General features: G+C 50.2%; 1 protein-coding gene, 1 non-coding gene and 2 pseudogenes across 14 annotated transcripts, besides 2 other annotated features; 1 reads left to right on the top strand and 3 right to left on the bottom strand.

Moving 5' to 3' along the window:
• Positions 1–407: 407 nt before the first annotated feature.
• On the top strand, positions 408–19,250 carry STRCP1 (stereocilin pseudogene 1; annotated as a pseudogene). The gene is made up of 28 exons (NR_146078.1): positions 408–547; positions 850–1,635; positions 1,724–1,748; positions 2,516–3,773; positions 4,730–4,792; positions 4,894–5,010; positions 5,153–5,319; positions 5,900–6,161; positions 6,300–6,415; positions 7,182–7,364; positions 7,669–7,707; positions 7,891–8,058; positions 8,212–8,277; positions 8,759–8,884; positions 9,862–9,920; positions 10,991–11,114; positions 11,219–11,331; positions 13,791–13,926; positions 14,043–14,211; positions 14,342–14,538; positions 14,737–14,827; positions 15,036–15,192; positions 17,299–17,454; positions 17,836–17,978; positions 18,168–18,316; positions 18,559–18,656; positions 18,745–18,892; positions 19,092–19,250. The product of NR_146078.1 is annotated as a stereocilin pseudogene 1 (transcript).
• Positions 5,421–5,524, bottom strand: LOC124903599 (small nucleolar RNA U13). Its single transcript, XR_007064826.1, has one exon. It is a non-coding gene; the product is annotated as a small nucleolar RNA U13 (small nucleolar RNA).
• On the bottom strand, positions 16,198–16,305 carry RNU6-353P (RNA, U6 small nuclear 353, pseudogene; annotated as a pseudogene).
• Positions 19,251–19,445: 195 nt separating the features above from the next.
• Positions 19,446–25,882, bottom strand: CKMT1A (creatine kinase, mitochondrial 1A). Of its 12 annotated transcripts, none has more exons than NM_001321927.1 (10): positions 25,565–25,882; positions 24,469–24,791; positions 23,666–23,957; positions 23,367–23,462; positions 22,759–22,980; positions 22,544–22,629; positions 22,305–22,428; positions 20,520–20,654; positions 19,902–20,027; positions 19,446–19,695 (listed from the first exon to the last, which is right to left on the bottom strand). In NM_001321927.1, exons 2-10 carry the CDS (start codon positions 24,615–24,617, stop codon positions 19,579–19,581), a joined length of 1,347 nt encoding a protein of 448 aa, NP_001308856.1. In that variant the 5' UTR covers positions 24,618–24,791; positions 25,565–25,882; the 3' UTR covers positions 19,446–19,578. The 12 variants fall into 12 exon arrangements, 10 of the variants coding, with proteins under 10 accessions (NP_001308856.1, NP_001015001.1, XP_016877858.1 ...); NM_001015001.2 differs by having other exon boundaries at positions 23,666–23,864; XM_017022369.2 differs by having other exon boundaries at positions 24,469–24,728.
• Positions 23,322–24,155: an enhancer, noted in NCBI's record as "H3K4me1 hESC enhancer chr15:43986711-43987544 (GRCh37/hg19 assembly coordinates)". NCBI's record gives its function as "activates a minimal SCP1, AML or CMV promoter by ChIP-STARR-seq in naive H9 embryonic stem cells {active_cell/tissue: H9 hESC(naive)}" and the evidence as "EXISTENCE:reporter gene assay evidence [ECO:0000049][PMID:30033119]".
• Positions 24,156–24,990: an enhancer, noted in NCBI's record as "H3K4me1 hESC enhancer chr15:43985876-43986710 (GRCh37/hg19 assembly coordinates)". NCBI's record gives its function as "activates a minimal SCP1, AML or CMV promoter by ChIP-STARR-seq in naive H9 embryonic stem cells {active_cell/tissue: H9 hESC(naive)}" and the evidence as "EXISTENCE:reporter gene assay evidence [ECO:0000049][PMID:30033119]".
• Positions 25,883–27,796: the final 1,914 nt, after the last annotated feature.

Below are 27,796 nucleotides of genomic sequence, written 5' to 3'. Positions count from 1 at the left end.
GGACCTCTCGTCTGTTTATACCTTGCTGTGCAGTTTGTTTCTCCTGGGCGTCATTTCTTCTTCAATTTCCTCAAATCCTACTTGCTTCTTAGCTCCTTCATATCCTCTTTGTTTTCTTTGCTTCTGCAGAACCCCAGATTACACCCCTGGTCTCCAGTTCTCCATCTCCATGTCTGCCTGTTCCTTTCTGCATCACTGGCTCCTAACTCAAGCAATCTCCTTGGGTTTCTCTGAGGGGCCCCTGGGATCCCCTATCATTAGTCCCTCTCACAGAAGCATACCCTTCTCCAGAGCTAAAGGATCAGATATTCAGCGGCTCAGGTAACAAACCTGCTGTCAGGTTACACATATTGTTTCCTGAAAGACCACACTACAGTGTCAGTGGAGCCTCAGGTTGCCTGCAGTGCCCTGCCCTCACCTGGCTATCCCACACAGGTGAGAATAACCAGAACTCACCTCCGGTACCAGTGTTCACTTGGAAACATGGCTCTCAGCCTCTGGCCCCTGCTGCTGCTGCTGCTGCTGCTGCTGCTGCTGTCCTTTGCAGGTAAGAAGAACAGTGAGCAGAACTGGGGATGAGGAGGAGGGTGGCTGGAAAAAGACTTTAAGAATATGGAGGTGAACCTGTTAGATAGAAGGACAAAGGAGAGAGGCAGAGACTTGTGCAAAAGGGAAAAATGAGGGTTAAGAAAAGCAGGCCAAGACTTACTGTAGGCCAGTGAAAGGGGTTCAGCTCACCATCCCCTCACCTCATCTTTAGATCCAGGTAGGGAACTGTGCTCAGGGGCAGGGTTGAGTTTGGGCTCTGTGTTCCTCTCCTTCAGTGACCTCTGGTTTCTCTCCTTACAGTGACTCTGGCCCCTACTGGGCCTCATTCCCTGGACCCTGGTCTCTCCTTCCTGAAGTCATTGCTCTCCACTCTGGACCAGGCTCCCCAGGGCTCCCTGAGCCGCTCACGGTTCTTTACATTCCTGGCCAACATTTCTTCTTCCTTTGAGCCTGGGAGAATGGGGGAAGGACCAGTAGGAGAGCCCCCACCTCTCCAGCCGCCTGCTCTGCGGCTCCATGATTTTCTAGTGACACTGAGAGGTAGCCCCGACTGGGAGCCAATGCTAGGGCTGCTAGGGGATATGCTGGCACTGCTGGGACAGGAGCAGACTCCCCGAGATTTCCTGGTGCACCAGGCAGGGGTGCTGGGTGGACTTGTGGAGGTGCTGCTGGGAGCCTTAGTTCCTGGGGGCCCCCCTACCCCAACTCAGCCCCCATGCACCCGTGATGGGCCGTCTGACTGTGTCCTGGCTGCTGACTGGTTGCCTTCTCTGCTGCTGTTGTTAGAGGGCACACGCTGGCAAGCTCTGGTGCAGGTGCAGCCCAGTGTGGACCCCACCAATGCCACAGGCCTCGATGGGAGGGAGGCAGCTCCTCACTTTTTGCAGGGTCTGTTGGGTTTGCTTACCCCAACAGGGGAGCTAGGCTCCAAGGAGGCTCTTTGGGGCGGTCTGCTACGCACAGTGGGGGCCCCCCTCTATGCTGCCTTTCAGGAGGGGCTGCTCCGTGTCACTCACTCCCTGCAGGATGAGGTCTTCTCCATTTTGGGGCAGCCAGAGCCTGATACCAATGGGCAGTGCCAGGGAGGTGAGTGTGGCCAGGGCTGGGACTGGGATGTGGCAGGGCAAGGAAAGTGAAATTGGGGTAGTTTTCTTCCTTACTCTTTCCCTCCTAGGTAACCTTCAACAGCTGCTCTTATGGTAAGTAACAGGAGACCAGTTCTGAGGGATTGGGCCTGGAAAATCTGGAGGTGAAGAGCTGAAGACCTCAGCCTCTAGAGAGGAAAACTGATGGGAGGAGTGTAGTTTAGTGGTTTTGGGGTGTGACTGTCTGGGTTGGTGTCCCAGCTCCACCTCTTCCTAGCCATATGACCTTGAGCAGGTTACATAGTCTTTCTATACCTCAGTTTCCCCATTTATAAAATGAGAATGATAATATTAGTTACCACAGAGTTGTTGCACCCGGTTAAATGAGTTGATACTGTGTATGCAAACGACTTAAAACCGTGCTGGCACATAGCGCTTAATAATGTTAGCTAGTAAAGATGGGATTTGGAAAATAAGGACACAGCTGGATTCCTCTACCCCCTTACTACTTCAGTACAACAATGCCAGACAGTAGTTAGACATATTGAGTTGCTGAGCAGATTTCCTAACATGAGGCCCGCTGAGGGTTGTGTTTAAGCTATCTAAAAGCATATGAAGAAAGGAGACAGAAGGGGGCCAGGTGGACAGAAAGAATTCCAACTGGGGCTTCTCCTAGGTGATTTTGGACCTTGGCAGGGCAGCTTTCTCTTTTTTGCCCCGTTGCAGCATTTCAACCAGTAACGCCTAAACTCTCAGGGACCTCGCTTGTAGAAAAGCCTATGCTTGCCATGCCCCTTGAGGGCTCTGAGTCAGGGTCAGAATCTTCAGCTGGAGGAAATGTGAACTGACCAGATCCTGCCTGCTCCTCCCTCTGCACCCAGGGGCGTCCGGCACAACCTTTCCTGGGATGTCCAGGCGCTGGGCTTTCTGTCTGGATCACCACCCCCACCCCCTGCCCTCCTTCACTGCCTGAGCACGGGCGTGCCTCTGCCCAGAGCTTCTCAGCCGTCAGCCCACATCAGCCCACGCCAACGGCGAGCCATCACTGTGGAGGCCCTCTGTGAGAACCACTTAGGCCCAGCACCACCCTACAGCATTTCCAACTTCTCCATCCACTTGCTCTGCCAGCACACCAAGCCTGCCACTCCACAGCCCCATCCCAGCACCACTGCCATCTGCCAGACAGCTGTGTGGTATGCAGTGTCCTGGGCACCAGGTGCCCAAGGCTGGCTACAGGCCTGCCACGACCAGTTTCCTGATGAGTTTTTGGATGCGATCTGCAGTAACCTCTCCTTTTCAGCCCTGTCTGGCTCCAACCGCCGCCTGGTGAAGCGGCTCTGTGCTGGCCTGCTCCCACCCCCTACCAGCTGCCCTGAAGGCCTGCCCCCTGTTCCCCTCACCCCAGACATCTTTTGGGGCTGCTTCTTGGAGAATGAGACTCTGTGGGCTGAGCGACTGTGTGGGGAGGCAAGTCTACAGGCTGTGCCCCCCAGCAACCAGGCTTGGGTCCAGCATGTGTGCCAGGGCCCCACCCCAGATGTCACTGCCTCCCCACCATGCCACATTGGACCCTGTGGGGAACGCTGCCCGGATGGGGGCAGCTTCCTGGTGATGGTCTGTGCCAATGACACCATGTATGAGGTCCTGGTGCCCTTCTGGCCTTGGCTAGCAGGCCAATGCAGGATAAGTCGTGGGGGCAATGACACTTGCTTCCTAGAAGGGCTGCTGGGCCCCCTTCTGCCCTCTCTGCCACCACTGGGACCATCCCCACTCTGTCTGACCCCTGGCCCCTTCCTCCTTGGCATGCTATCCCAGTTGCCACGCTGTCAGTCCTCTGTCCCAGCTCTTGCTCACCCCACACGCCTACACTATCTCCTCCGCCTGCTGACCTTCCTCTTGGGTCCAGGGGCTGGGGGCGCTGAGGCCCAGGGGATGCTGGGTCGGGCCCTACTGCTCTCCAGTCTCCCAGACAACTGCTCCTTCTGGGATGCCTTTCGCCCAGAGGGCCGGCGCAGTGTGCTACGGACGATTGGGGAATACCTGGAACAAGATGAGGAGCAGCCAACCCCATCAGGCTTTGAACCCACTGTCAACCCCAGCTCTGGTATAAGCAAGATGGAGCTGCTGGCCTGCTTTAGTGTGAGTGCTCTGCCAGAGGGAAAGCTCCTAGAACAGTGAGAAGGCCCTCCAGGGGAATTCCTCGAATACTCAGAGGCAGTAGTGTGGGGTAGTAGTTGAAGCACACAGCTCTAGAGTCAGACAGGCTTGGATTCATATCTTGGTTCTGTGACCAGCCTTGAATGAGTTATTTAACTTCTCTGAGCAATATTTTTCTCGTCTCATTTATAAACTAGGGATGATAATGGTATATGAGATAATACATGCTGTGGGCTTAGCACAGTGCATGATACACAAACATGCAATAAATATTACCTTGTTATTCTTTTGGGCTCTTTGACTCTCTCACTTTCTGCACCAGAAAGAAAAAGGATCAAGTTAGAGGACTCTAAATTTTTCCCCTAGAGAGTGAGAATTGGAGGCTGGCAGAATACAGGAAGATAAGGTAGGAATGAGAAAGATTCAGGGACACTACCAATCAGAAGACTTTGGTTCTAGGTTCAACTGTGCCACAAATTAGTGTGATCTTAGGCAAGCAATTTCATTTAGTTTTTCTGGGCTTCAGTTTTTAGTCTGTAGAATGGAGGGGTGAGAATATGTTAAACACCATAATTAATTCACTGAGTGCCTATTATATGCAAGGCACTTTGCTAGGTTCTGTAGGATATATAAAGATTTCTTACTCCATGTTGGGGCCACCTTTTTCAAACCCTGGGCCCAGTAAAATGGAATTAGATAGTCTCATAGTATTTGGTTCAGGTCTACAAGTATTAATTGAGCCAACTATGGACCTGGCATGGGAGAGGGTACAAGAGAAATTAGAGATATGATCCCGGACCTAAAAGAGCTTAATATCTGAAGAATCACACTTGAGATGATGGACAAGCATCCCAGCAAGTGGAGTTGGAATGCCTGGGGGAGCTGCAGGAGAGACAGAGAAGACAGCTCTGTTGGCATATTGTCTTTCTTCCCACCAGCCTGTGCTGTGGGATCTGCTCCAGAGGGAAAAGAGTGTTTGGGCCCTGCAGATTCTAGTGCAGGTAACAGGTGGAGGGCACATGGGTGGGCTGGGTGACAGCCATGGCTGGAGGTCCCTGCCCCGTGAGGTGAGGCCATACCCACCATGACCTCCTATTCGCAGGCGTACCTGCATATGCCCCCAGAAAACCTCCAGCAGCTGGTGCTTTCAGCAGAGAGGGAGGCTGCACAGGGCTTCCTGACACTCATGCTGCAGGGGAAGCTGCAGGGGAAGCTGCAGGTGAGCACTGAGAAAGGGGAGCAAGGGCACCTGGAGCCTAGTGTTCAGAGGGCTTGCTTTAGTGGGAGGAGGAACTCCAGAGAGGAAATGGCAGGGATACTGAGCATCTCCAGAGGCAGAATCCATTCCTGTGCCCCTACAGGTACCACCATCCGAGGAGCAGGCCCTGGGTCGCCTGACAGCCCTGCTGCTCCAGCGGTACCCACGCCTCACCTCCCAGCTCTTCATTGACCTGTCACCACTCATCCCTTTCTTGGCTGTCTCTGACCTGATGCGCTTCCCACCATCCCTGTTAGCCAACGACAGTGTGTAAGGTTCTTGCACTACTCCTCCTGCTCCTGTCACGGTCAGGCCAACCGCATCCACCTGGAGCAGCCCCTTCCGGAGCTCCTCTCTGTTTTTTTCTTTCATGCCAGATAGGCAATGTGCCAACATCGTAGCAAGGTTTGAGAGAGGCACATCTCACGCCTGAGTGTGAAAACCCAATCATTATGCTAATGAACTACAAAAGGATCAGAGAGCTCCTCTCTATTAAAACCAGGGAGAGGATGGGCGTGGTGGCTCATGCCTGTAATCCCAGCACGTTGGGAGCCCGAGGCAGGTGGATCACTAGGTCCGCCTAGTGAGTTCGAGACCAGCCTGGCCAATATGGTGAAACCCTGTCTCTATTAAACTACAAAAATTAGCCAGGCATGGTGGTGGGCGCTTGTAGTCCCAGTTACTCTGGAGGCTGAGGCAGGAGGATAGCTTGAACCTGGGAGGCAGAGGTTGCAGTGAGCCAAGATCGTGCCACTGCACTCCAGCCTGGGTGACAGAGCGAGACTCCGTCTTAAAAAAAACAAAAAACAAAACAAAACAAAAAAACAGGGAGAGTCTCCTTCCTATCTAGACAGCAGGGCTACAGAGGGTCAGAGGAAAACAGTTTGGAGGAAGACAAAGGGTTAAGACCCATGACTCCTCGCAGCCTGGCTGCCATCCGGGATTACAGCCCAGGAATGAGGCCTGAACAGAAGGAGGCTCTGGCAAAGCGACTGCTGGCCCCTGAACTGTTTGGGGAAGTGCCTGCCTGGCCCCAGGAGCTGCTGTGGGCAGTGCTGCCCCTGCTCCCCCACCTCCCTCTGGAGAACTTTTTGCAGCTCAGCCCTCACCAGGTATGAGAATCATCTTCTTTACTTGACTGGCCCATCTTCTGCTAGTGGGGACAAAGAGTCAATGGCATGTCTCTCAGTGGCCCCTCCCTGCAAGAACCCTATAGTGACCCCAGTGCGAGCTAACCTTCCCCATCTCAGATCCAGGCCCTGGAGGATAGCTGGCCAGCAGCAGGTCTGGGGCCAGGGCATGCCCGCCATGTGCTGCGCAGCCTGGTAAACCAGAGTGTCCAGGATGGTGAGGAGCAGGTACGCAGGTGAGTTGTTGTGGGATCAGTAACCAAGGCAAGAGTGGAAGAGGTAGAGAGAGGAAGGCACAGCTGTCACGCTGGGTCGGTGTTCTAGGAAGAAAGGGGCAAGAGAGTAGGCAGTGGCCTCAGGCAGCATAGAGTTCCAGGAGAGAGGTCTATAGATGGTGCCCCTGTGTAGTGGTGTAGTGTCAGAGTGCCCAGTGTATGTACCCATACCATCTGCTGCCAGGCCTGCCTTAGTGCTAGTCTTGGGGACCACACAAAGGTCAGCTTCATGCCCTCCTCAGGCTTGGGCCCCTCGCCTGTTTCCTGAGCCCTGAGGAGCTGCAGAGCCTAGTGCCCCTGAGTGATCCAACGGGGCCAGTAGAACGGGGGCTGCTGGAATGTGCAGCCAATGGGACCCTCAGCCCAGAAGGACGGGTGAGCCCCTCAGCACAAGCCTACAAGACTTTAGGCTTCCCCTGGGTCTGTGTGGATGGCTTTCCCATTGTGTCAACTTGAGCACAGTGGTGCCAGCCCCCATCCCACTTTTGCAACCTCCATTCCTTACTCCATGGCCATTCTTACCTGTTACCACCTCTTCCTGGCCCTTCTCTATCTGGTCTGTAGCACCCCAAACATACCCTTTGCCATTTTGAACCTAATCTACTCCAGTCCAATCCCTAGTTCCAAACCCTAGCCCAGGCCCTGGGAAATTCAGATGTGGGATTAGAGAGGAAGTTCAAGGTTCATCTGTCTTTTCTCTCCAGTCCTAAACCTTCTTTGGTTACAGGTGGCATATGAACTTCTGGGTGTGTTGCGCTCATCTGGAGGAGCGGTGCTGAGCCCCCGGGAGCTGCGGGTCTGGGCCCCTCTCTTCTCTCAGCTGGGCCTCCGCTTCCTTCAGGAGCTGTCAGAGCCCCAGCTTAGAGCCATGCTTCCTGTCCTGCAGGGAACTAGTGTTACACCTGCTCAGGTTTGCCTGTCTCACTCCCTGGCATGTACCCTCCATCCCCGCTTGAGCCCCAGTCAAGAGAATCCCATTCAGGGATAAAAGCAGCCCCTCCTTTCCCTGGGTGAACAGTAGAGGTAAACTCTGTCTGCAGGAGGACGCCTTCATTCCCTTTCCTCAGATCAAGAAGGGACCTGAGTCACTGAGGATGGTTACTGGGGATGGTTAAGAGGCAGCGGGAAGTTTTGGAGGGTTTGCCTTAGGAACCCACTTAGGACCTGGCTGCTGGGTCCTGAGAGCTGTTGTTTTCGGTCCCATCCCAACACAGGCTGTCCTGCTGCTTGGACGGCTCCTTCCTAGGCACGATGTGAGTAGCAGCAACTTCTCAGCCTCCCGCCAGAGGTCTCTATCCTCTTTTAACCTGGCTCCTGCATCTGCCCCTCCTCTCTCTCCGCTCCCCTCATACTTACTGCCTTGCTGCATTGTGATTGTTGTCTTCCCCAACACCCTTCCCTTCTTCTTCAGGCCTCTTGTCTCTCTTGCTCTTTAGCTATCCCTGGAGGAACTCTGCTCCTTGCACCTTCTGCTACCAGGCCTCAGCCCCCAGACACTCCAGGCCATCCCTAGGCGAGTCCTGGTCGGGGCTTGTTCCTGCCTGGCCCCTGAACTGTCACGCCTCTCAGCCTGCCAGACCGCAGCACTGCTGCAGACCTTTCGGGTATGAGAGTGGCAAGGAGGATGAGATAATCAGGGATACCGGCTCTTTCTGGTTGGGAGGAAGGCATCTTCCCTGAGGCCAGGGAAGGCCTTTCATACCTCCCCACTTACACACACACACACACACACACACACACAACCAATTCTCATGCAGGTTAAAGATGGTGTTAAAAATATGGGTACAACAGGTGCTGGTCCAGCTGTGTGCATCCCTGGTCAGGTAAGTGTGAGATCTCCCAACTGAGCTCCTCTCCCCATTCTGGGGCAGTTTCATATGGCTGGTGCTACCTCCCACACTACCCTGCAGTGGCCCTGAGAGTTCTGGTTAGCTCTGTGCCCATTAGCAGCCCTCCCCAGTGCCAGATGCAGGACAGCATGATCCACTCACATTGTCCTAGACTAATGTCAAAGCTGGAAGGGCCTGAGAAATCTTCCAGGCCACCCACCCTGCTTTCAGATGAAAAGACCAAGGCTGGGAGAAGCTAAGGGACTTTGTTTGCCTGGTGCCTAACTAGCAGCAACACTTGACCACAGCAGCCTGCAGTGTGAGGCTCTTAGGCGTTTATTGCTACAGTGGCAAATGCCATTCCACTTCTGTCCTAGCTTTGGTCCCTTTCCACCCCCATGGTTCCTTTTCTCTGAGTGCTAAGTACAGACTCTCTCACCTATCACTACACTGCTATACCCATCACCGCCAGCAGCCTATTCCCACCACCTGGCCAGACTGCCTGCTTCCCCTGCTCCCATTAAAGCTGCTACAACTGGATTCCTTGGCTCTTCTGGCAAATCGAAGACGCTACTGGGAGCTGCCCTGGTCTGAGCAGCAGGTAATTCTCCCCACTTAATTTCAGAACTTCCTCCCTCAATGTAGTCTACCTTCTTTACCTATCCCTTAGCCCTATTTGGCCAGCTTATCCCTACTATCCTTTATTTGATTGTTTGAGATACAGTCTCACTCTGTTGCCCAGGCTGCAGTGCAGTGGCATGATCAGAGTTCGCTGTAACCTCAAACTCATGAGCTCAGGCAATCTTTCTGCCTCAGCCTCCTGAATAGCTAGGATGACAGGTGGTTACCACCATGCCTGGCTAATTTTTAAATTTTTTTTTTGTTTTTTGAGATGAAGTCTTGCTCTGTCACCCAGGCTTGAGTACAGTGGCACAAGCTTGGCTCACTGCAACCTCTGTCTCCCGGGTTCAAGCGATTCTCCTGCCTCAGCCTCCCGAGTAGCTGGGACTACAGGCACTCCCCACAATGCCCGGCTAATTTTTTTTTTGTTTTAGTAGAGACAGGGTTTCACCATATTGGCCAGGCTGGTCTCGAACTGCTGACCTTGTGATCTGCCTGCCTCTGCCTCTCAAAGTGCTGGGATTACAGGTGTGAGCCACCATGCCCGGCCAATTTTTAAATTTTTTGTAGAGACAGACAATACAAAAATGTGGACACTATGTGGAGACACTATGTTGAGGTACTATGCTGTCCAGATTGGTCTTGAACTCCTGGCCTCAAGCAATCCTCCTGCCTTGGCCTCCCAAAGTGCTGGGATTACAGACCTGAGCCACTGCACCCAGCCCCCTAGTATCCCTTATAATGTGACTTGCTTTTCTTTTTCTTTCTCCTTCCCTTTTCTTTCATTTCTTTCTCACTCTCGAGAGAAGAGTGGGCATCTGGGAGAGTGGGAGGCTGGTGGGTCCCACAGAGTGAGGAGGCAGGACTGGGTCCAAGGCAGTCCTGCCTCTCCACTCTAGGGGGTATCCTTGGACAGTGTCTCTTCTGGGAAGGGGCTCGTCTTTCTTTCTCTTGTAGGCACAGTTTCTCTGGAAGAAGATGCAAGTACCCACCAACCTGACCCTCAGGAATCTACAGTGAGTAACTTGTGTTGAGCAGTGCGCTGAATTCGACCAACATTTTTTTGAGTGCTTACTATGTGCCAGGCACCATATGATATGGAATGGGGGATATAGGGATGAATGATGCATAGTCCCTGCCTCGTGGACGTTCTCCTAGCACCTCCCTTTGCCCTCCTTTCCTTCCACAGTGCCATGCCTATCCTGACTAGAGCCAAAGGACTCAGAAAACCTGGATTCAGGTTCCAGTCCTGTCACCTACTTGTCCTCTTGGGCAAGTCATTTAACGTCCCTGTGTCAGTTTTCCCTTCTTTAAATGAGAATTACAATGGCACCAGCCTCATAGGTAGTTACTGTGAAGATTAAATGAGGTAGGTCATGTAAGATATTTAACACAGTGTTTGGTCCATTGTAAAGTTCCAGTAGTCATTTGCTACTGTTAGTTTACTTCAGGATGACTTCAGAGGCACTGGCCAAGCAAGAATAAATAGGAATAAGAAGGTATCACTTTACTTATACCCACATTAGAAGAACAATGGGCTTCAGAATCTTTTTTTTTTTTTTTTTCGAGACAGTCTTGCTCTGTTGCCCAGGCTGGAGTGCAGTGGCGCGATTTCGGCTCACTGCAACCTCTGCCTCCCAGGTTCAAGCGATTCTCCTGTCTCAGCCTCTGGAGTAGCTGGGATTACAGGAATGTGCCACCATACCCAGCTAATTTTTGTATTTTTAGTAGAGATGGGGTTTCACCATTTTGGCCAGGCTGGTCTCAAACTCCTGACCTCAGGTGATCCACCCGCCTCAGCCTCCCAAGGGCTTCAGAATCTAAGACATGTCTCTAGTTTCAGTTTACCACATTTCTAGCAGAATGATGTTGGGAATGTCACCTGACTTCCATAAATCCTTATTTTCTCCTCTGATAAACAGCAGTGATGTTATGGGGAGCTGATGAGATATCTATGTAAAAACATTTCTCAAACCATAAATTACGGTGGATGAACATCTGTACTTGTGTTGAGAGTACTGATATCAAGGAGCAAACAGGCTGTTGTATGTGTTGAATGAGCCTCTCCCCACTCACACACCCACAGGGCTCTGGGCACCCTGGCAGGAGGCATGTCCTGTGAGTTTCTGCAGCAGATCAACTCCATGGTAGACTTCCTTGAAGTGGTGCACATGATCTATCAGCTGCCCACTAGAGTTCGAGGGAGCCTGGTGAGAGGGGATGCCTGGACTTTAGTGGGAGCAGGGAGGCTGGGACCCTAGGTATAGAACCCAGCTCCTATGTTCTGCTCTGGCCTCACTCTGCTTCCCTACAGAGGGCCTGTATCTGGGCAGAGCTACAGCGGAGGATGGCAATGCCAGAACCAGAATGGACAACTGTAGGGCCAGAACTGAACGGGCTGGATAGCAAGCTACTCCTGGACTTACCGTAAGTACTGCAGCTAGAGATATTGGCCCCTCAGAAAGCTCAATCTGGGGTGAAGATCTGCCCTTAGGGAATGCCCTGGAGGAGGTAGTTTTTCTGTCTGGTAGTTCCCTGACATAATTTATAGCCCAAAGCAGAGGATTTTATTCAAAGTTGCTCTATGTATTGACTGGTTCCCAGAATATGCTCCAGCACAGGGCAGCTGAGGGTGGCAACACTGTATTGAAGCCTGCCAAGTAATCTTACAATAACCTAGTCCACATTAATTGAGATTGAGACAGAGCATCTGAAGTGAGGGAGGCAATGCTCCAAATCTGCCCCAGAGGATTGTAGTTTGCTCAGGGCACTGTGTTCTTAGTGCATTCAGAGGAGTGGATCGAGAGAAAAATATATGAAAAATGTGATAAATACCTTCAAATACCTGAGGGGCTATCAAGTAGAAATTAGATTGTCATATTTATGAGTGGCCCCATTGGGCAAGACTAAGAGTAGTTAACGGAGATCAGATTTTTACATAGTATAAGAAAAACTAAGGTAGTGAGTTCCTGGTCCTTGGAGCTGTTCGAGCCTAAGCCAGATGGCCCCATGGCAGGAATGTTGTAGAGCACGTTCATATACAGGTTGTGGGAAGAAAAGGCTATAGGAACCCAAGGCTCCTCCCTACCCATGGAGAAATTTATTAGTATGTTACTCATATGCTGCTTTTCTCATTTTACCCCTACCACCACCCCGTTGCCATCCGCACTGTAAGTCAGGATAGGAAAATGCTGGTGTTACAGTCTTCCTGGGGAATATGGAGCTGAAGTGGAGTAAAAGCAGTTGACTTCATTCTTACTTTTTTCTTTTTCTTTTTTTTTTTTTTTTTGAGACAGAGTTTTGCTGTGTCACCAAGGCTGGAGTGCAGTGACGTGATCTCGGCTCACTGCAACCTCCATCTTCCAGGTTCAAGCAATTCTCCTGCCTCAGTCTCCCGAGTAGCTGGGACTGTAGGTGTGCACCACCATGCCAGGCTAATTTTTGTATTTGTTGTAGGGACGAGCTTTCACCATGTTGGCCAGGCTGGTCTTGAACTCCTGGCTTCAAGTGATCTGCCCACCTCGGCTTCCCAACATTCTTATATTTTTATAGGCCTTTCCACAGATTTCAGCTCTTGTATGACTTAGCCCAGTTCCAGAACTGGTAATCCTAGGTAGGGTACAGGTTATCACCTCTGATTTCGGGTAAAAGGGATTTATTTATTTATTTGTTTATTTATTTATATTTTTGAGACAGAGTCTCGCTCTGTCACCCAGGCTGGAGTGCAATGGTGCCATCTCGGCTCACTGCAACCTCTCCCTCTGGGGTTCAAGCACTTCTGCCTCAGCCTCCTGAGTAGCTGGGATTACAGGCGCGTGCCACCACACCCGGCTAATTTTTGCATTTTTAGTAGAGACGGGGTTTCACCATGTTGCTCAGGGTGGTCTCGAATTTCTGACCCTGTGATCTGCCTGCCTCGGCCTCCCAAAGTGCTGGGATTACAGGCATGAGCCACTGCGTCCGGCCTGTTTTTACTTTTTTTTAATGCCATTCAGATCTGTTTAAATATGTGGGTTCTGTGAGATAATTTAGAATCCCAAGGTTACAGATGAGGTGAAAGATCCTAGACCATGCATCAAAAAACTTGAGTTTCTCATTTGTGAAAGAAGGATAAGAGAAACACCTATTTTGTCTGGGTGCAGTGGCTCATGCCTATAATCCCAGCATTTGGGGAGGCCAAGGTGGGTGGATCACGGAGGTCAGGTGTTCAAGACCAGACTGGCCAACATGGCAAAACACCATCTCTACTAAAAATACAAAAGTTAGCTGGGCGTGGTGGCACGTGCGTGTAATTCCAGCTATTCGGGAGGCTGAGGCACGAGAATTGCTTGAACCTGGGAGGTGCGGGTTGCAGTGAACTGAGATCGCAGCACCACTGTGCTCCAGCCTGAGTGATGGAGTGAGGCCAGGTCTTGTTGTAGGATCAAATGAGATAACACCTGAAAGAACTTTGTAAATTGTATAGCACGTACAAACAAGAAGGGACCTCTTCACAAGCAGAGGAAGGGTGGTCCTGTGGAAAAAAACGGGAATTGGGAGTGAGAGACCTCAACATTTGATCTCTGTGAACCTCAGTTTTTTAATCTATAAAATGGGGAAATGTTAATGGTACTTAATATTTGGAGCTTTTGAGTCCATTAGATCAGGTAGGATTGTTCGTTATTTTTTTTTTTTAGGAAGACTAGAAATATGTTGCTCCCTTTTTCTCCCCCACTCAAGCTTGATGGTGGGAATTGGCCCTGGAGCTGTTTACTGTCAGTTCCTGTCCAGCTTCACTAAATTTGGTCTGGGGTCACATCTTAGCTGGGGACTGTGGGGTTCTGTGGTCCCTTCTCGACTTGGCCCAGCTCCACTTGAATGATATTGTTGTCAAATTGCTATAATAGAATCCAGTTGATGGACAGACTATCCAATGAATCCATTATGTTGGTGGTGGAGCTGGTGCAAAGAGCTCCAGAGCAGCTGCTGGCACTGACCCCCCTCCACCAGGCAGCCCTGGCAGAGAGGGCACTACAAAACCTGGTAAGAGTCCACCCTACCAGACTCAGATTTGCTGCCCTGGGCAATTCTTGCTCCTCAGACAATGCTCTCTGACTGTCCTCCAACCCTCTACTTCTTGCTTTCTTGCTGCCAAACAGGTTCCTGTCTACAAGGCCTGGCCCGTTTTGCCTCTGGGTTCTGTTCCTTGATAATATGCTTCACGTTACTTGTCCATACCTCTTGGAGTCCGAGAAATCTCTTGGAGTCCACCTCTCAGTCTTTCTGCCTGCTCCTATCTGGTCTCATTGCTTAAGAAAGTGAACAAAGGTAGTGAGCATCATAGGGTGCTGAGTTGGGAGCAGGAGGGAGGGAAGGTCAGGGGGCTTGGTGTCTTGATCAAGGTGTCTGGTATTCTGAGTCAGAAGTGCATTGTCCAAGTTCTGATGCTCTTCTCCAGGCTCCAAAGGAGACTCCAGTCTCAGGGGAAGTGCTGGAGACCTTAGGCCCTTTGGTTGGATTCCTGGGGACAGAGAGCACACGACAGATCCCCCTACAGATCCTGCTGTCCCATCTCAGTCAGCTGTAAGGCTTCTGCCTAGGAGAGACATTTGCCACAGAGCTGGGATGGCTGCTATTGCAGGAGTCTGTTCTTGGGTATGGATCTTCGAGAACTTCAGATTCTAACTCATTCTATACCCAGTCCCTCAGCCACCATCATCAGTGGCAGCCTGTTCCATATTCCTAAGGGCCCTTGGAGCCCTGTGTCCGAAATCCTAGCATGTCCTCTTTTCCCCTTCCTTTTCCTCACAGTTCCCTCAGCTCCCCAGCCCCCGATTTTCTTCCTGTCCCCAGGAAACCAGAGTTGTGGAGCCAGGATGAAGTAGAGCAAGCTGGACGCCTAGTATTCACTCTGTCTACTGAGGCAATTTCCTTGATCCCCAGGGTGAGATGAAGGAAGAAGGGAAGGGAGTAAATGCATAGAGGGGACTGGTGAGCTGGTTATGGGGACCCGTGGCCAACGAGGGCAAAGGATATGAAGCCTAGATCTGGGGGGATACTGCGAAACAGAGACAGGACTTTGGACTTATAGCTATAGCAGCAGGTCCTGATCTGTCCAGATCTCCCCACTCTCCTTCTACCTTCTCATGCAGGAGGCCTTGGGTCCAGAGACCCTGGAGCGGCTTCTAGAAAAGCAGCAGAGCTGGGAGCAGAGCAGAGTTGGACAGCTGTGTAGGGGGCCACAGCTTGCTGCCAAGAAAGCAGCCCTGGTAGCAGGGGTGGTGCGACCAGCTGCTGAGGATCTTCCAGGTGAAACTACCCAAATACTTATATGTCCAGCAGGATGTACAGGGAGTATCAAACGGTCTGGGTTCTACATGTGCTTTTCTCTGGGACTGGGTTTTCTAATTTATAAAGCAAAGAGTTTAGAGGGATGATCTTCAAGTCTCGTCTAGTTCTAAAATTCTATAGCTCTGGGAGTGTGTAAACTATTAAGTTTTCCTTTAGCCCAGAACTTCCATTTTCCTGCTGTCTTGTCTCTTTAAACAGCTGACTCAGCTCTAGCTCGGCTAAGTGTGGAGCTCTCTGCTGGGGAGATCCCTCGAAGGAGACATTGTGAGGCTAGAGAACTGGTTTCAAATTCAGCTCTGCCATGAAATCCCTGACCAACATCCTCAGTCTTCCATCTATAAAATGAGGGACTTGGCATCTCCAATCACTTCTTGTTCAATTCACTTCTAAGCCCTATACATCTTAACCTGTAATACTCCCTCGATCCCTACTTCCCACAGTGCTCCATCCTCCAAAGGTTGGAAGAGTCATTCCATCTACAGATACCTCCTGGCCCTGCCTTCCCCCTTCAGAACCTGTGCCAAATTGTGCAGATGTACGAGGGACATTCCCAGCAGCCTGCTCTGCAACCCAGATTGCTGAGATGGAGCTCTCAGACTTTAAGGACTGCCTGACACTATTTGCAGGAGACCCAGGACTTGGGCCTGAGGAACCACGGGCAGCCATGGGCAAAGCAAAATGGGTCAGGGACGGAGAGCCAACTGAGGTTGGCCATGAGGAAGCTGTGTGGGTGTGATGTAGGACACGAAGAGAATAGAGAGTTGGATGAGAGGTGGGGGAAGCAGAAGATAAAAGAGTTAGAAGATTTGGGTCACAAGTAGAAGGTGAGGAGAGATAAATATTGAGGAAAGAGAGCTACTATAATGAATAGAGGGACTAAAGCAGTGATTACCAAATTTTAATGCATATCACAATCATCAAGGGAACAGATTTTTTTCTTTTTTCTTTTTTTTTCTTTCTTAAAAAATAATGGCATACTTCATGAATTTGTGTGTTATCCTTGCGCAGGCGCCATGCTAATCTCTGTATCATTCCAATTTTTTTTTGTATATGTGCTGCTGAACCGAGCACGGGAACAGTGCCAATGCTGGATTACCATGCTAGACTGACTTAATAAAAACCTTTGCGGAGGCTGGACGGAGTGGCTCGTGCCTGTAATCACAGCACTTTGGGAGGCTGAGGCAGGTGGATTGCTTGAGCCCAGGAGTTTGAGACCAGACTGGGCAACATGGTGAAGCCCTGTCTCTACTAAAAATAGAAAAAAAATTAGCTGGGTGTGGCGGCACATGCCTGTAATCCCAGCTACTCAGGAGGCTGGGGTAGGAGAATCCCCTGAGCGCAGGAGGTGGAGGGTGCAATGAGCCAAGATCACACCACTGCACTCCAGCCTGGGTGTCAGAGCAAGACCCTGTCTCATAAATTAAAAAATAAGCCTCTGGGAGAAAGTCTAGACATCTGCATCTGCTTTTTTTTTTTTTTTTTTTTTTGAGACACAGTCTCACTCTGTCACCCAGCATCCAGGCTGGAGTGCGGTGGTGTGATCTTGGCTCACTGTAACCTCTACATCCTGGGCTCAAACGATCCTCCTGCCTCAGCCTCTCGAGAAGCTGGGACTACAGGTGCACACCACTACACCTGGCTAATTTTTGTATTTTTGGTAGAGATGAGGTTTCGCTGTGTTGCCCAGGATGGTCTTGAACTCCTGGGCTCAAGCATTCCTCCCACCTCAGCCTCCCAAAGTGCTGGGATTACAGCTGTGAGCCACTGTGCTGGGCCCCAGGCATCTGCATTTTAATAAGCGTCTCTGTGTCTGATGCACATAAAAGTGTGGAACTCATGGACTAGAGTTAGTTTGCTCTTCTTTTCCACTGATTGTAATGTCTTTCAAAACACCTTAGAGGAACTGTAAGGCAACGGTCTCATTTTATAGTGGAGGAAACCAAAGAAAAGGCAAGTGACTTGCCTAGAGTTATACAGCTAAGGTCAGAGGCAAGACTTAAAACCCAGCATTCTGACTCCCAATCTACTGGTTTTCCACTCACATTGTTCCTCTCTTTCTCCTAGTTGTGGGGTCCCCCCCGGGGATTTGGTCCTGAGCAGATCCTGCAGCTCGGTAGACTCTTAATAGGTCTGGGAGATCAGGAACTACAGGAGCTGATCCTAGTGGACTGGGGAGTGCTGAGCACCCTGGGGCAGATAGATGGCTGGAGCTCCACTCAGGTAACACTTTTACTCCTCCCTACCGCTTCCCAAACACCCATCCCACAGACCCAGCCCTATAGATCATCTAAAGCCCAAGGAATTTTTTCCTGTGACCCTACCTGGTCATTCTTTCTGTCTTTTGTTAATATCCCATACTAGTGACCTTCAGGACTCTTGATTTATTCACTCTGAGGCCCTGGACACATAATACTGTCTCCTACCTCTTTTCCTGGAGGCTTCCTCTTTTTCTTTCCTTTTCTTTTCTGAGTCCTCAGCCTTCCCCATGACTCCTTAGGTCTTAATAGTAACAGAATATAACCCAGTAACACCTATCACTTCCCTGTCCATTAATTCTCCATAACTTTCCTCCTTCCCCTCTTCTCCCACCCCCCACCCCAGCTCCGCATTGTGGTCTCCAGTTTCCTACGGCAGAGTGGTCGGCATGTGAGCCACCTGGACTTCGTTCATCTGACAGCGCTGGGTTATACTCTCTGTGGACTGCGGCCAGAGGAGCTCCAGCACATCAGCAGTTGGGAGTTTAGGTCATTTGTGAAGGGGCTGAGGGTGGTCGTGTTCAGGTAAAGGTGGACTTGCTGGGGAAAGGAGGATCATGAAGTTATAGTCCCATGGAGGAAGGGAACTCATTTGAAGCCATCTCTTCCTTTGTCTCATGACCACAGTCCCTTTCACTGAAGCCGAATTCTTCTTCCTTCCTTCCCACTGTTCTACAGCCAAGCAGCTCTCTTCCTGGGCACCCTGCATCTGCAGTGCTCTGAGGAACAACTGGAGTTTCTGGCCCACCTCTTTGTACTGCCTGGTGGGTTTGGCCCAATCAGTAACTGGGGGCCTGAGATCTTCACTGAAATTGGCACCATAGCAGGTGGGGAGCTGGGCCACTGCTGGTGCAAGTTGGTTTGGTTTCTATACCATGGGTGGACTGGATGGAAGACTGCCCTGCAATTCTTCAGGTGTGGGCCTGAGAGGGTGTTTAAATAAGGGGCTAGAGACATATTGGGGAAGGTCTATGATAGGGCACTTTGGGAGTAGTTAGAGAAGGTCTATAGGTTTGAAGAGAGGGAAGGTCAGTCTAAGACAATGTTTGGATGCCACTTGCTTCAACAGCTGGGATCCCAGACCTGGCTCTTTCAGCACTGCTGCGGGGACAGATCCAGGGCGTTACTCCTCTTGCCATTTCTGTCATCCCTCCTCCTAAATTTGCTGTAAGTATTAATGGACTGGGGTGACCACAGGAGAGCCAGGGCCCAATGGGGACTACATGCATGCACTGATTCCTACCCCTGCCCTCAGGTGGTGTTTAGTCCCATCCAACTATCTAGTCTCGCCAGTGCTCAGGCTGTGGCTGTCACTCCTGAGCAAATGGCCTTTCTGAGTCCTGAGCAGCGACGAGCAGTTGCATGGGCCCAACATGAGGGAAAGGAGAGCCCAGAACAGCAAGGTGAGTTCCCAGCTGCACAGCTTGATCCTCCATCTCCTGACCCAGAATCAAACCCCTAATTTGGTGCTGTCTGGCTCTTAGAGTGCACCCAGGGAGATCCCTGGAGTGAAGGAGTCTACAGGCAGAGCGCTAATTTCCAAGTATCAATGCTCCTGGAGAGCTGAGTTGTGATATTACTCCCATTCCCTGTCTATTATAGGTCGAAGTACAGCCTGGGGCCTCCAGGACTGGTCACGACCTTCCTGGTCCCTGGTATTGACTATCAGCTTCCTTGGCCACCTGCTATGAGCCTGTCTCTACAGTAGAAGGAGATTGTGGGGAGAGAAATCTTAAGTCATAATGAATAAAGTGCAAACAGAAGTGCATCCTGATTATTTTCAGAAGCTGATGAGGAATATGGGTAAAATGTTAATGCTTTCCACCCACCTGAGAATCAGTGTTCCTGGGTTGCCATATCTGGAGTCTCTTTCCATCATAAATAATCCCACTGCCTCTTTTCATTTCCTGAAGGCTGCTCCCTCCTCACCCCACCATTAGAAGTAACACAGACAGCTGCAGCATAGCAAGGAGTCTTTACTAGGATGGAGGCAGGGGATGCGAGGGCAGGTCCAGAGCAAGTAGAATGGGCCATCATTAGAATGAGCAGAACTCCTTGGAATCTTGAGTCATCAGCTGGCGATGGGGAGTTAATGCTTGGTGTGGATGACAGGTGTGGGGATGCGGATATCCTGGCCTCTCTCCAGACGCCGTTCACAATCAATCAAATAGTTTACTCCATCGATGACCAGTTGCACCAGCTCCACCTGAAGGACACTAATCTTTGATCTCTGCTTCCTACAGTCTGAGTTTTTCTTTATCACTGACTGACTTGCCTGCTCATTTCCAATTGCCTCCCCACTCAACCTGAATTTCATTTCAGATTATGTTACATCCCGGAGGCTCACTCACTGCCATATTTCAGCCCCCACAGACCTATACCTCTCCTCATCCTAATCCCTTAGGATCTCACCTCTGATTTGCCTAGTCGGTCCAAATTAGAAATATCAAAGACACCGCCTGTGGCAGCAGTGTCCACTCCTCCAGTACCACGCTTTTGGAGTCTTAGGTTCTCCAGGATCTTTGGGAAGCGGCTATCCTAGAGAGGAGATAGGGATTGGGAGCAGGGTCAATAGAGGCAGAGACTAGTCCTACCTGAAAGAGCCCTGAACCTGCTCAGAGCTCTGTCTCCTGAACTTTTTTTTTTCCTTTTTTCTTTTTTTTTTTTTTTAGACAGGGTCTCTCTCTGTCACCCAGGCTGGAGTGATCACAGCTCACTGAAGCCTCGACTTCCCAGGCTTAAGTGATCCTCTCACCTCAGCCTCCACTACACCCAGCTAACTTTTGTATTTGTAGTAGAGATGGGGTTTCACCAGGTTGCCCAGGCTGGTCTTGAACTCCTGGGCTCAAATGATCTGCCTGCCTTGGCCTCCCAAGTGTTGGGATTAGAGGCATGAGCCACTGTGCCTGGCCTGTCCTCTGACCCTTTAGCCACAACATGTTTGGCTCCTCTCCAAAGGGTCCACTCCCTCCCCATCCACAACCCACCCTTCCTTACTCACACCCCTCTGTAACCCCACAACTCCTTTACTTTGCTTAGCAGGGGCAGTTTGATGTGCACTCCTGCCCGAAGTCCAGTGCCCAGGTTAGATGGACAGGTCAAGATGTATCCCAAACGCTCATTCCACATGAACTCCCAGCCACGTTCTTGGATAAGTCTCTCCACCTGAGTCCACAAAGTTTTTATTAATGAAAAATCAGGGATATTTCATTAACCCTGGACCCTCCCTTAGCTAGACCCACAAGAACACTAGAAATTTGTCTAGAATAGAAACTTGGCTGTGAATGAATGACATTGGTCTTTTTTTAAATGAAAAAGGTTTGTTATTGTTTTCATGCATGCATGATGCAAAATTATGATGTGCATAATAATGAGATTGTGAAAAAATATCTTATGTGGAAGAAGAAAACTCGAAGGCGTGGTGTATTAAGGATGATCTAGGGAAATGAACAGAGGTGGTAAACTGAACTGAGAGAGGACTGATTATTCAATGAGGTCTGCATGCATCGATTATCTTTGCTTTGCTAATGAGCCTAGAGCTTGGAAGGGTCCTTTCAGACAGAAGATGAAGGTGTAAGCTTTGCCAGGAAGAGGTGAGATAACGTTCTATTAGCTGTGAACGGAGCACCTGTGTGAATGCAGAGAAAGATGAAAACAGAGCAGGAAAGCCAGATTCATAGGAATAGGGGACAGGGGGAAGGCATTTTGCTTCCATTAACCATGTAGTCATGAAGATGACTATTAGAGTTCAAGAGACAAGGGATCTAGCAGAGTGATGATCACAAAGACCACTATCCAACATGAGTAAAGGGATCCTGTTTGTAGTTCAGAAGGAACCATGCCACCAGGGATATCTTATGTGCTGAACATGGGGGGAAACTCTTCCATCCAGAATAATATTGCAGCTAACACTTTAACACTTATTAAGCACTTACTGTGGACCAAGTACTTTACCTGTATTTCACTTAATCCCCACAACAACCTAAAATGTAGAAAATCTCATTATCCCAATTTTACAGATGAGGAAACTGAGGCATATAATTTAAAGGTACTTCCCTACCCACTCATAGTCAGAATATGTTATCTATTACTTGCCAAAAATAGTAGAAACTTCTCAGAATCTAAAAGAGGAGCTCTTTTTCTTTGCAAACCTAAAATAGAACTGTATGTTTGAGAACATACAGTAAGAATTGAATTGAGTTTATGGGGATTTCTAATGTAGACTTGAATACGGAGACCCAATCCATGTAGGATTGATGATTCAGTTCAACCTCTCATCTAGAGCCACATATTCTAGAACTCGAACCATTCTATCCTCCACCTTCCCCAGTCTCCCTCTGAACTCTCAACTTAAAGCCTAGACCCGATACTTTAACAAGAATGATAGAATCCAGAGTCAAGGCCTACCTTGTCTCAGAACTGGGTGGTTATATTAGAGTCATGAACACAGCAACCTCTCCCCGCCAACATCAATCTAAGCTCGAATGTTTTCCTTATCTGCACACCTCACCATCCCACTGCACACATCCCAGGCACTGACGTGCCATCTCAGTTATTCCTTCTTTGCATTACCTGCCTTCTTCACTTTCTAAGGTTCCTGACACTCTTTTCCTAATCTTAGTGTGACCACATGTCCTGGTTTTCCCAGTATGGTCCCAGCTGGTTTATACCTTTAGTCCTAGAGTGAGTCCTAGGTAGTCCTTTTTACCATCAGACATGTCTTGGGTTGGTTGATAAATTACATAATCTATTTATGCTACTCTTTGGTTTTCCTTATGTCCTCCCACCTAGCTCCCCTACACAATCTTCTCTAACCTCTTTGAGGCCTCGGCAGAATCTTTCAAACACTCTCTTCATGTTACCACCCTTCTCCATGGAGATCACCCGTGTATGATCCTCCTCATTCACCCAGATCAGGAAGCTCTTCTCATTGTTGTGCCTGAGGGCCGGAGAGGGACAGTGATCAAGAGGCAAGGCAAGAATTGGGAGAGATAGAGGGAAAAAAAGCATTTATGAGGGCATGAAGACAAAAGAGGTAATGAGCAGCTTCATACCAAATTCCACGAGCATCTGGCCAGTCTCGAGCCATTCCTGCTGCAGTCAGCAACGGGGACACAGGCTTATCAAACAGAAAGTGGTCCTGGGAAGAGTAACGGGACTTGGGTTAAGAATCTTCATGGTGGCCCCTGGGCCTTTCAGAGCCCATGTCTCATCTGGCCCAGCCTTCCCCATCTGCTCCCACCAACCAGCACCCTCTTAAGGCCCTCACATCAATAAGCTGCTGCTGTTCAGCCTCTGTCATCTCACTGAGCCTATAGTAACGTCCAGCCAGGTCACCCTTCAGGCCACTCAGTGCATCCACCACAACACGTTCCACCTCTCGTCGCTCTGCTCGAGTGCAAGCTGGAGGCAGACTGAGTCCTCGGATGCTTCGGCCAGTTCTGACTCTAGAGGACAATACATACCTCTCATCAAAGTAGCCAGAACGGATCTGGGAGATAAGGGAAATGAATGTAAGTCACAGAAACACGGTGGGAACTGAGGGCCCCTGGGAAAGGAGAGACCTTCCTTAGGCATTAGAGGACTCTTTGTGCATTCTTCCTGCATGCATTGGAAGAAGAGGCCCTTTGGGAAAGCACTGGAATTGAAGGGGGCATTGCAGACCTTTCCCCAAACCACCCACCTTGGGTCATGGTCATTCTTATCTATCCTTCCATCTCCATATATGCTGCCCCTTAAGATATGATTCTTTCCTTACATTAAGATTAAAAGCTCAGCTGTATAATGACCATGAGTCAGGAAATAAGGTGAAGGGGTTGGAGATACAGAGTGTTGTACACAGGCAATGCAAATCAGAAGTGGGATATTTGAACTCACTTTACTGGCATCTAGATCCGTGGTGTGCTTCATTGTCCGGGGGTCATATCCATTGTGTCGCTCTTGGATCACAGGGTCAAACAGGTCAGCAAATACCTAAGGGGAGTTAAGAGGGAGAGATGGTTAAGGAGAGGGAATCCCTCCCCAGACTTCAATTGTGCATTGATTTCACTGGTTCAGAAAACTTAAGTATGGGGGGCTCAGAGTCTTGGGGGAAAGTGAGAGGTCTTTAGGGGAAAGGAGCTGGGATTACTGGGAAGATGAATTGGATCATCAGGGAGACTCTGGGGACCCCCTACCTCATAGGTCTCCTCATCTCCAGCCACCATGCCCACAGTCTTGATGAAGGGGTGGCCAGGGTTGTCCACGCCAGTCTGGATACACTGATCTAGCGTCCAACCAGTGGGTGTGGTCTTGTCGCAGAGCCGTGCATAGACTGCTGGGGTCAGGTGACTGGCCATGCAGTTGTTGTGCTTTCGGAGGTCTGGGTACTCAGCGCTGGGGAGGGGGTACCCAGTAACCATGGAGGGAGGGCACAGACGCCTAGACCTAGTGCAGTTACCTGGGAGCTGTCCAGTTGGCCATGTCTGGCTTTGCTCCGCGGGAGGAGGGGGAATTAGAAAGAGGGTAAACCTTGGTAATCTCTTTAGGGACTTTCAGAGTCTATGCTTTCCTAATAGTTCTAGTTGCCTCTGGCTGGCCAGCTCAGTTTCTTCAGATCTGCTCAGTTCTTTCCTCCCATGACACAACACTACGGATGGAGGAGGGGAAAAGCCTAAGGAGAGGAATTGAGGAAATGAGGGAAGGAGATGGAGGGGAGCGAAAAGGATAGTTCCTGGCTTTACAATTAGGGATTTGGGCAGCCAGTGCAGCTAGAACTCGTAGGGCCAGAGCTGGTCTTGGCAGGTCCCCAGGAATGTTCTTGCTTTATGGTTTTGGCCCCCACCCCCACCCCACTGAGGTCTGCAGACTGCACAGCCCTCCAGCTCCAGGGCCTTCGTGATTATAGCCCTTCTCTGTTGCCCGGATTCTCACTTCTACCCGCACCTTCGTTCCCATCACCTCCTGCCCCCGCCTCCTCCCGCGCCTCAGGCACTGTTACCTCGGGGGATACAGCCTCCGTCGTTCACTGGCAGCTCGTACAGGTTCCGGTCGGAGCAGAAACCCAGCGGCTAGAGACCCCGCTCCGGCCAAAGCCAGGAGCCTGAGTCCCGGGCGGGCGGACAGCAGACGGGAGAAGGGACCAGCCATGGCTTGAGGTCTGGCTACGGGATCCTGGAGTAGGCGCTGGCGCAAGATAAGATCCGGAACAGGGAGGGAGGATGCAACCGGATAGACCGAGGGCCGGAGCTAGGTCCGAGGCTGCAGCCGAAATGGGGGTCGGATTGGAGGCTGGAGCCGGAATGGGAGCCGGTGCCAATCAGACTGCAGGAGAGGCGCAATGAGCTAGTGGCAGGCGGGCGGGCGGAGGAGAGGGAGGCCCCAGCCGCAGTCTCCAGGGGTGGGGCTCCCCCAGGCCCCGCCTTCCCGCCTGCCACCGCGCTAGGTGCGCGAGGGCAGGGGTGGGCAGCACCCGCCAGGTAATTAGCGGGACCTGAGACTCGCGCGTCTAAAGCCGGGGATGTAGCCCCCTCCCGCCCCGGGGATGTGGCCGCCCAGATTTCAGCACCAAGTGGAGGACAGCACCCACGTGGACTAGCTGAACCCAACACCCTTCCCCCACACCCCTCGGTTTAAGCTGAAACTCGATCCGTCTACCCTGTGGGTGTGCAAGGGTGACACTGCCCAACCTTTCCTCTGCTTTCGGCCTGCCCCAGCCACCTCTTCGGTCTCCCGGGGGCAGCCGCGGGGAAACCGCGGAATAAACACAGATACCAGAGGAGGATATGGAGAAAGCACAGGGTTAGAGGCAGGCACTGGGAAAGACACCCACTGGCTCAAGGTCACCTTTTCCTTAGAACCAGGAAGAGGAGCAAGGTGCTTCCTTGCCACCTCTGTGCACGCCTTACAAAGTTGAGAAAGGACTCCCTGGGAGGAACCAAGGAAATATTAATTCTTATGCCATCTGTGCTGTGTCCTCCACCTCCATTCTGCACCCAAGTCTGAAGCCCTGTTATTTCCTGCCTCTGCTTCTCATGATCCCCCACTTTTTGTTTTCCTTTTGTCTCTCCCACTTTCCTCCACGTCCCCTACCTCACCTTTGATCTTTTACTTCTCTGCGTCTTTTCCAGGCTCAGATGTGTTTGCTGCTCACAGGATGCCCTCTGCGTTTTCTCGGCAAGCTTGCCCACCTGTTGGTGGTGCTGGGTGTGGGGGTGGGCAGGGAATCGTTAGTTTCCTCCTCCTCCTCTCCCTTGGCTTCTCTCTCCGTAGTTCCTAGTTCCTGTGCTGGAGGAGAAGGTAAAGTGAGGTGAAGGGTGTGGTGAGATGACTGGGTGTGGGACTGGAACAGGCAGGCACAGGTCTCCAGACACCACATGTGTTTCCTCTCTTGTCTCCCTAATGCTGTTTAATCCAGAGAGTAAAGGCGAGTGGTGTACAAAGGCATGAGGTGGTCAGGGAATCTCTGCCTTCCTCGTGGTCCCCTCTGCTGCTCTCTCTCTCCTCGTGAAACACATATTCAGATTTGAGAGGGCTTTGTTTCCCAGCTCCAGGTATGATTTGACCTTTGTCCTGGTAGCAAGGAGAATGAATGCTAGAGTTGAAATAGAGATGAGGGGCTTCAGCGTGGAGGGTCAGTTAAGGTGGAGTAGCACCGTGGCATTAGTCCCTTCCCTCTGCTATCCTGGTGTACCCACAAGACAGATACTTGGAAATCTTAACAGAGAGTATTTGGGAAAGAGAATTCCCTTTACATAGAAAATTCCCCCATATTACTCTCATTCCCTTCATTCTCCTTAGGCCTTCCTTGTGTCCTTTTATTCTACCTTTGTCATTTGTGGGTATTCTTAGAAGTGTCCACTTCTCTCTTGGGTCCATCCCTTCTTCTTCTGGTAAGACATCAATTATTAGAGAACAGAGTTATGCAGCTGTAGTGTGGAAAATGTTACCTGTGTTGTGGGGCCTCTTTACCTAGGTTGAAAAGTAGCCATGAGTAAATAAATATAATTTCTTAGAATAGCGTGTATTTATCCAGATAAATAGGGAGATAATCTTCCAGAGCAGTAGGGTTGCTATTTGATTGAGAGGGTGTTACTAAGGAATAGGAAGTGGGAAGAGATAATTACCGAAGGAGAAATAAGACAGCCAGAGGAGTAGAGAAATTACCCAAGTTTAGAGAGTAGCTTCCCAAATGTGAACAATAATTCCACTGAGAAAACACATGTACTTATGCACTTTTCTTATCCCTTGTGTGCCTTTTACAAGCACATAATATATTAATGCTCATTTAAAAAATTATTTTGCAGCATATGGAAGTAATCAATATATGGTATTGTTATATGGTATTTCATTTATTTAATAAGAATTATTGTTGTCAATAGTATTTAATATTTTTAAAGCACTTTACAATTACAAGGAACTTTTATATGTATTATTTCATTGAGTTGAATTGGATTGTTCCAATGATTACTGGGGACAGAGTCTACATTTTCATGGGGATAGTAAGGGGAGTTAAATACCTGGAAGATGCTGTAATAGCTAGTTTGAAGGGCTAGAGTGGTGGAGGGGGTATGAGCCTGAGCATGAACTAGGGAGGCATCTATTCCTCTTAGAATAATCTATTCAAGCCATTAGAATCATTTCTATGTCCATTCAGGAGGCCTTGTGGGGTCAGTACAATGAGGCACGACTGGAAAAGTGGCAAGACCCCTAATATTGCAGAGAAGGAAAAGGGAACAACTGTCTTGACCAGGGAAACCCAAGTGAAGATGCGAGGATAATAAGAGCAATAACATATACAATACAAAATGCTTTCATATTATCAGTACCTTTAAGTGAGGTGTTTTGTTGTTGTTGTTTTTTGAGACAGGGCCTCGCTCTGTCACCCAGGTTGGAATGTAGTGAGGTGATCTTGGCTCACTGCAAACTCCATCTCCCAGGCTCAAGTGATCCTCCCGCCTCAGCCTCCTAAGTAGCTGGGAGCACAGGCATACGCCACCACACCTGGCTAGCTTTTGCATTTCTTGTAGAGACAGAGTTTCATCATGTTGACCAGGCTGGTCTTGAACTCCTTGCACTCCAGCGATCTGCCCGCCTCGGCCTCCCAACGTACTGGGATTGTAGGCGCGAGCCACTACAATTGGCCTTAATTAGGTTTTTGGGGGGTTTTTTTGGGTTCTTTTTTTTTTTTTGAGAAGGAGTCTGGCTTTCTCACCAGGCTGGGGTGCAGTGGCGCCATTTCGGCTCACTGCAGTCTCCACCTCCCGGGTTCAAACGATTCTCCTGCCTCAGCCTCCCGAGTAGCTGGGATTACAGGTGCGCACCACCAC

The sequence above is a fragment of the Homo sapiens genome, chromosome 15 (assembly GCF_000001405.40).
Source record: "Homo sapiens chromosome 15, GRCh38.p14 Primary Assembly".
NCBI lineage: Eukaryota > Metazoa > Chordata > Mammalia > Primates > Hominidae > Homo > Homo sapiens.
Note: the sequence above shows the minus strand (reverse complement) of the source record. Positions and strands in the feature narration are given on the sequence as shown.